The sequence below is a fragment of the Homo sapiens genome, chromosome 17 (assembly GCF_000001405.40).
Source record: "Homo sapiens chromosome 17, GRCh38.p14 Primary Assembly".
Lineage (NCBI taxonomy): Eukaryota > Metazoa > Chordata > Mammalia > Primates > Hominidae > Homo > Homo sapiens.
This window is the reverse complement of record NC_000017.11, coordinates 35,889,217-35,897,787: the sequence shown is the minus strand read 5'-3', so window position 1 is coordinate 35,897,787 and position 8,571 is coordinate 35,889,217. Positions and strand designations below refer to the sequence as shown.

The 8,571-nt window shown below is 47.0% G+C and overlaps 1 annotated feature.

The window, feature by feature from the left end:
- Positions 5,577-5,777: a silencer, noted in NCBI's record as "peak2821 fragment used in MPRA reporter construct". NCBI's record gives its function as "represses an SCP1 promoter by STARR-seq MPRAs in K562 erythroleukemia cells {active_cell/tissue: K562}" and the evidence as "EXISTENCE:reporter gene assay evidence [ECO:0000049][PMID:32103011]".

Sequence of the window (8,571 nt, the reverse complement as noted above, 5' to 3'; positions counted from 1 at the left end):
CACCACACCCAACTAATTTTTGTATTTTTAGTAGAGACAGGGTTTCACCATGTTGGCCAGGATGGATCTCTTGACCTCGTGATCTGCCCACCTCGGCCTCCCAAAGTGCTGGGATTACAGGCGTGAGCCACCATGCCCGGCCTCCTCATTTTTTTTAGTAGCAGCCTGGCATTCTGTTATATGGAAGTGCCAGAATTATTTCATTAGTCCTTTATTGATAAACTTCAATCTTCACTATTACAAACCATGAATATTTTGTATAGATCAAGTTGTACATATGTGACTACATCTGTAAGATAAATTCCTAGAAGTAGGAATACTAGTGCTTATTAAATACAGTATGTACTTTTAAATTTTTTCAAACTTTATAGAGGATGTAGCAATGTATAGCCCATCAATAATAAAAGGCACAGCCGGGCGCAGTAGCTCATGCCTGTACTCTCAACACTTTGGGAGGCAGAGGTGGGCAAATCACCTCAGGTCAAGAGTTCAAGACCAGCCTGGCCAACATGGTGAAACCCTGTCTCTACTAAAAATAGAAAAAATTAGCCGGGTGTGGTGGCACATGCCTGTAATCCCAGCTAGTTGGGAGGCTGAGGCAGGAGAATCGCTTGAACCCAGGAGGCGGAGGCTGCAGTGAGCCGAGATCGAGTCATTGCACTCCAGACTGGGAAACAAGAGTGAAATTCTGTCTCAAAATAGTAATAATAATAATAATATAAAATAATAGTGATAATAATAAAAGGCAGTCAAGGGAGTGCTTTTTTTTTTTGAGGTGGAGTCTTGCTCTGTTGCCCAGGCTGAAGTGCAGTGGCACCATCTTGGCTCACTGCAACCTCCGCTTCCTGGGTTCAAGTGATTCTCCTGCCTCAACCTCCCAAGTAGTTGGGATTACAGGCACGCGCCACCATGCGCAGCTAATTTTTTGTATTTTTAGTAGAGACGGGATTTCGCCATGTTGGCCAGGCTGGTCTGGAACTCCTGGCCTCAAGTGATCCGCCTGCCTTGACCTCCCAAAGTGCTGGGATTACAGGGGTGAGCCACTGTGCCCTGCCGGGAGTGCTTTTTAGATGAGGAAAAAGCCGGAAGAGACTAGCTGAGAAGTAAACAGGCAGGCCCATGCCTGGCCCAGAAATTCATCCTAGGACCAGTGAAGAAGATGAGCCAGCACCACCAACAGCCTGTTTCCTACAGGCAAGCCACCCGTTTCACACATGAGAAAACTGGGGCTCAGAGAGCCGACTTGCCTCACTCAGGGTTGTGGCCTGGAACGCTGTAGGTTCAGGGCTAATTCCTCTAGACAGTATATGCTTCACCCTCTGACCTCAAGCTGTGGTCTCCTGTGTTGGCTTGGCTACAAGTTGGAGCTCCTTCCTATTGTGGGCTGAAAGTAGTTGAGCCTACCACATGGTTCAGAACTTCCCCTGGTTATTTCATTCCCACATACAAGAAACCAGCCCCAGTCCCACACATACACACTCACACAGCTACTATTTCCAGCTTCCTTGGGGCCCACAGGACCTTAAGCGTCCACTTCTCTGAGGCAGGTAGCAGTGATGACCCTGGACATTCATCGACCAGCCTAAGGAACTGAAACACAACAGACCCCTGCACAGTTACCACCAGATAGCGGGCAGCGAGGGCGTGAAAGAAGTCAAAGCACATTAGCCACAGAGCTACCAGCCACTCAGGAAACAGAAGTCACCGTGGTGAAATAATTATCTTTCTTTGTATCGGAAAATGCCTTCACATCCATTAACTCATTTCACCTCCACAGTTCTCTGAATTAGACAAAACACGGATTCTTATATTCATTCTTCTTGTTGAGCAGATAAGGAAAAGGAAATATGCCTTTTCTAGAGAAGCAGAGACCAGAGGCCGACCCAGGTTTTCTGGTGCTTAATCCTGGTCCCATTTCTGCCCCATGTTAAGCAATCTCCTGGCAGTATGAGATGTTCATAAAAATCAGCTCTTATCTGCCCACATCCAGAATTAGTCACCATGTCCCTAGCAATGTTGTTTTGAACCCTCCAGTACATGGACGTATATGCATTCCTTTCTCTGTATCTTTTAGCTTCATAGCTGCGTCCTTTGTGAGGATACTCTTGGGATGTTTCTGAGTGGTGTCATTTTACTGTATCTAAGTGCCTGGCATGGCCTCTGGAACACGATGGGTACTCAATAAAATTGTGTTGCTTGACTGGCTGAGAGAATGGATGATATATGGATGACAGGATGAATGAATAGGTGAACAGATGAATGGATGGATGAGTGGGTGGGTGGGTGACTGGTGAGTTGAGTATTGGTTCACTTGTTTACTTGTTTTGCTTTTATTTTTCTACTAGCATCCATTACCCCTTCAAAATCACCTTGACATCTTTTTATGCAATTACTTCTTCCTTCCAGGGTATACAGTCTCAGCAGTACGACATATCAGGGACGCTAACTTCTCCCAGCCAAGAAGCAAGCAAATGACACAAGATTAGCTGGTCATACTCCCTCTCCTAGGACTGTGAATCCTTAGTAGAGTGAGACGAGGATAGGAAAATTAACTGGAATACATCTATATCAACAGTGGTTGGCCGGGCGCGGTGGCTCACGCCTGTAATCCCAGCACTTTGGGAGGCCAAGGCGGGTGGATCTTGAGGTCAGGAGATCGAGACCATCCTGGCTAACACGGTGAAACCCCGTCTCTACTAAAAATACAAAAAATTAGCCGGGCGCGGTGGCGGGTGCCTGTAGTCCCAGCTACTCGGGAGGCTGAGGCAGGAGAATGGCGTGAACCCGGGAAGCGGAGCTTGCAGTGAGCCGAGATTGCGCCACTGCAGTCCGCAGTCTGGCCTGGGCGACAGAGCGAGACTCCGTCTCAAAAAAAAAAAAAAAAAAAAAAAACAGTGGCACCCTGATGGCACTGCCAAGTAGTTCCTGCTGCCCACAAACACAGAGTGTTTCTGGTTTCTCACTTGTCATTTTTCCAAGCCAAGTTCTCCAATATCCTACCCATTCTATGAGCTACTCAACATTACCCCCAATACATTACTTTCCTGATTAAGTTAGTGTGATATAATTGTGTGTGTGTGTATATATATCTATAATTATATGTATATAAGTTTTCATCCACAGTTCCTGGCCTATAACTCCCATAGCCCTTTTACAGTCATCTGTTATAATGTTGGGACACTTTAGGCCTTAGAAACAGGCCTCAGGAAGCAGAATTTCTCTCTCTCTGACCTCTCCTGCCCTCCTTTCACCTGCCCAAGGCAGGGTTCTAATCTAATTGTGGGTCATAAGACCCTCATTCCAGAGAGGGCCCTGCCCCATACCCTGGAGGGAAGGAATGCTGCACAGAAAGGCCGAAAAGAATCTGAGCAGACAGGCCCTGATGGATTCCACCCTCGGTCTGTTAGTATTAAATCATACCCTTTTTGCCCAATCACATTTTGACATGGTTGTCCATGCTTTAGTCATGCTTATCCAACGAGTGTATAAAAGGCCCAAGAAGACAAGGTTCAGAGAGCTTCCGGATAGCTGAACGCATGGAGGCTGACAGGACAGTGAAGGAGAACTCATCCACGCGCTGGGCGAGTGGTGCACCCCAACTCCACAGGAACGGAAGCTCCTCCAGATCTTGCCTTGTGTTATCTTTCCATCTGGCTATTTATTTGCATCCTTTTTAAATGTAAGTAAGTGCTTCCATGAGTTCCGTGAGCTCCTCCAGCAAATTAATCAACCCCGAAGAGGGTGGGTCATGGTAACCCCAACTTGAAGCCAGCTGGTCAGACATTCTGGAAGCCCAGACTCGTGACTGGTGGGAAGGAGGGAGCAGTTCTGTGGAACTGATTCCTCAACCTGTGGTTTCTGAGGCTATTTCCAGGTAGATGGTGTCACAGTTGAATTAACTGGTGGACACCCGGCTGTGTCCACTGCAGAACTAATTGCTTACTTGGTGTGTGGGAAGAAACCCCTACATATTTTGTCACAGAAGTCTTCTGTATTATTATGGTGTAAGAGAACAGGAAAAATGCATGTTGACTGTTTTTTCCACACTCCCAGTCCACAAAAGTTTTCTCCACTTATGAACAAATAATGTGTGTGTGTGTTTTTTTGTTTTTTTGTTTTTTTGTTTTTCCTGAGACAGGGTCTCACTCTGTCATCCAGGCTGGGGTGCAGTGGTGTGATCATGGCTCACTGCAGCTTCAATCTCCCAGGTCCAAGTGATCCTTCTACCTCAGCCTCCCAAGTAGCTGGGACCACAGGTGTGTGCCACCATACCCAGTTAATTTTTAAATTTTTTGTAGAGACAGGGTCTCCCTATGTTGCCCAGGCTGGTTTTGAACTTCTGAAGCGATCCTCTCACCTCAGCCTCCAAAAGTCCTGGGATAACAGGCATGAGCCACTGTGCCTGGCCATGAATACAAAGAATTTTAACAGACACAAGATGCAGATATGAAGGAATAGATGAATGAATAGACGCGTGCTGGACAGGATGGAGTGAAGGGATGTGTGAAAAGGTAGGAATGAGTGGGTAAGCGGAGGAGGACAGTGCTGCTCACAGAAGTTCATGAGCTAAATGGTAAAGTGAGTCCTAGGCCTTTGATGGATACGAGGGAAAGAAGGTATGTTACTCCCTCAGCCTTACCCATAGGAGAAGTAATGTGAACTGATTTTAGGAGCAAACAGGAAACTTACCCCCAAATCTCACTCTAGTATACTAGAAATCCTTTACTTTTGTATCTTTTAACTAAGAGGGAAATAAATAACATTGTCAGACCCTCATTTCACAGATGAGGAAACTTAGGCCTACAAAGGGCAAGTGGTTTGCCAAAATGTAACAAGTGGGTTTGGAGCTACAATGGGACTAGAGCTTAGGTCTCTTAATTCCCATTCCTTGCTCTTTTCACCACCCAAAGCTGACACTAGAAGGAATGACTACGGTGCAGAATTTCCAAACCCTAATTTGAGGAAATTCCCCAAGGGGACTTTTTCATGCAAGCTGGAGAGCCTCAAAAATGCAATGAATGCCTAGGAAGGTTCTAAGGGCCCTAATATTCTAACCTGAACACTAGAAAGCAGGGCAAGCAGCATAGTGGGGAAGCAGGGGACTGGGACCCCCGTCCCTGAGAATGGAAGTAATAGGCAAGAAGCCAAGGGGCTTCCCAGGACAAGCTAAAAAAGAGCAGATCCAGACTACAACTACAGAATCCTGTAAGATTCTGAAACTTTGTCACTTCCTTTCTAAGGCTTCCTTCCTAAGCCTCTCTGTGAAACTCTTTGAAAAGGGGTATGTGGGCTAGCCTGCAAGGACAGCCAGAAGGGAGAAGGATCACATCCCCCTCCGTGGCCAGGCTCTGAGAGACAGAAATCCAGTGAAGGACAGAGCATGGGGCTGAGTGTCTGTAGCCCACTGCATTGAGGGCAGGAGAGCTCAGGGCAGGTCTGAGTCATCACCATTTTCTGTGTGTTTCTTCCTAATAAGTGAAATAATGTGTAGTGTCTAGCACGGTGCCTGACAGCTCACAGAAAATCCCCAACTTCCCCTCCCCCACCGCCATGCCTTCTAACTCTCGGTGAGATGAACATCTCTACTGGGAGGGGAAGCCATTGAGGGAAGAAATGCTGGCACCTTGACATTTGGGGAAAGAAAGGGAAGGAATTGTTTTCCAAGTATCTACTTTGTGCCAGAAATGGTGTTGGGCAATTTACTGATTGCCTCATTTAATCCTTTGACGTATCCTAGGAGTTAGGTATTCTCAGCCCCATTTCCAGAAAGCAAACCAAGGTGAAAAAGAGTTAATAATTTGTTCAAAGACATATGGAAAAGTGCCAGGCATGGTGGCTCACGCCTGTAATCCTAGCACTTTGGGAGGCCAAGGCGGGCAGATCACTTGAGGTCAGGAGTTCAAGACCAGCCTGGCCAACAAGGCGAAATGCTGTCTCGACTAAAAATACAAAAATTAGCCAGAAATCACTTGAATCTGGGAGGCGGAAGTTGCAGTAAGCCAAGATCGTGCCACTGCACTCCAGCCTGGGCAACAGAGTGAGACTCCATCTAAAAAAAAAAAAAAAAAGTCATACAGAAAGGGTTGGATGTGGTGGCTCACACCTGTAATCCCAGCACTTTGGGAGGCCAAAGTGAGAGGATCACGTGAAGCTAGGAGTTTGAGACCAGCCTAGGCAACATAGTGAGATCCCCTCTTTAGGGAAAAAAAAAAAATTCTGCCACAAAAGCCACATTCAATAGAAAACATTTTTTTAAAAAAATAGCTAGGCATGGTGGCATGCACCTGTAGTCCCAGCTACACAGCAGGCCAAGGCGGGAGGATTGCTTGAGCACAAGAGTTTGAGGTTACAGTAAGCAATGATCAGCTACTGCATTCCCACCTGGGCAACATCTCTAAAGAAAAATCAAACAAAAAACGACATACAGAAAGTATGCGCTATCTGATTTCAACCCCAAGTTTGTCCTGCTTTACCAGGCTTTCTCCTGGGGCCTGGAGGCAGTGGGGCCAAGGGCAGGGGTGGGGTGTGCAGGGGACAGCAGTGCTCCAGCAATAAGAGTTCTTGAAGAGTACTTCATGAGGGGGTATACACCAATAGAGGGGAAGCCACCAGCCACCAACATGCAGAGGAAAACAACAACAACAACAAAAACAGACCCCAAGGTATCAGGAGAAGGACAGTCTGAAGTCATCTGGCACCCAGCCATTTTGGAAGAACTGATGCTTCTCCACGGGCCTTGTTCCCGTGGTCACCCCACCCCCAAGATATCTTGTGACAGGCTCCTCCAGTAACCAGAGGCAGGTGAGCGCTGCTCTGATCAACAAACACACCGCATGTGGTCTCCAGCTGCAATAAACAAGTGGCTGTGCACAGCCAATGTCCTGTGTGGTGAAGGTGAGAAGAGTGAGGGGGAGCCAAGCTGCAACCCTCAGCCTGAATGTGGTTGGAATTATGAGAGCAGTTGTCAAAGTTAGTACCTTGACATAGTGCAATGTGCATTAAAGTGCACAGTGCAAGGTGACAGAAGAGGGGAGGGGGAGGGGGTGGGGGAAGGGGTGGGGAGAGGAGGGGGAGGGGAGGGGAGAGGAATTGAGGAGCAGAACAGAATAACACAGAAAGAACCAACCAGAGCTGGACCAAAAATCGAGGCCAGGATGTTGTAGAGTCTTGGGTTCAAATTCTGCCTCCTCCTGGGAAGTCCCCTGAGCCTGCTACAAGGTCTTGGCTTGCACCCTATTGCCTCTGGCAGATCCTCCAACCAGCACCAATGAAGCACCTACCCCATGCAGGGTCCTTCAGAAACAAAGAGTGAGATAGCTTCCAGTCTCAGGTGGGGAATATTTAGACTTGTGAACAGGGGCAAAGAAGGAGAGAAACAACCAGGAAGTAACCTCCAATTTGCAGATGGGGAAAATTAAGTTTCATCAGGAGGAAATGACTTTGCCTCAGGCTTCTCTTGGGATCCCAGATTTCTAGAGGATGGGGGGAATGTCCCTGCTTTGGGCATGTTTTTAAGAGCACTGGAACAGCCAGAGCTGCTGCCCACAGTCTGAAGTCAGGAGGGGAACTCCATGTCAGATAAAAGCTTTGGAATCCAGATGGAGTAAGGTTTCATTTTCTCTGCCTGCATTTGGTTTCCTAACATCACAATGTGAGCCTTGGCTAGCAGCCAGCTTAGCTTTGGAAAAGAGTGAATGATGGGGAAAAAAAAAAAAAAAGACTGTGCCAGGAAGGGAGGGGAGGAGAGGGGCTACACTAGGCTGGAGGGGATATGGGCCTGGCTTTAGAGGATTATGCTAGGAAAAGGGGTGCCAGAGGCGTGAAAGCTGATAGGAACAAGCCCTGTGGATCAAGAGGCCCATCAGTGAGCCTGCAGGGTCTATGAACTCCTTACATGCAAAATTACATGTGTCTGTCTGTGTAGGTCTCTACAGATTGGTGGAAGTGTTCACAGCTTTCATGAGATTATTATTTTTTTTTTTTTAAGAAAGGCACACTGCCGCATGCAACACCTCATTTGGATGTGTCTGGAGTCTTGGAAGTTTGACTACCCTACATTCTCCTACAAATGGACCTTGAGAGCTTGTTTGGAGGTTCTAGCAGGGGAGCGCAGCTACTCGTATACCCTTGACCAAAGAACAGTCCTCCTCTATTGGGGAAGGTTGTCCTCTTCTGAAACTACCTTTGCAAAAATTATAGCAGTGAGAAAATTATGACAGTGAAAGAAATCTGACCTAATTGACTCCATCTTGCTTCTAACCTCCCAGCTGCCCTTGTTCATTCCTGGGCATAGGGAGCACTAACTTTGGGAGGATTTAGTTTATAGTTTAACTTTGAAACAAAGATGATAACAGCCCCTCCCTGAGACCAACCCACTCCTTGCCTGGGGACCAGAAAGCCTTTGTAAAACTAACACATTGGCCACAAGATTAGAAATGACGGCTCAGGAGTCATGCAGCCAAAGGCCTCGAGATCATGAACCTCCCCAATTGCTCCTGTAGATAATATTATTATTGTAAAACCTAACATGGGTGTTTGAGGTATTTTTCAGACCCTGCCTTCTGATGGATC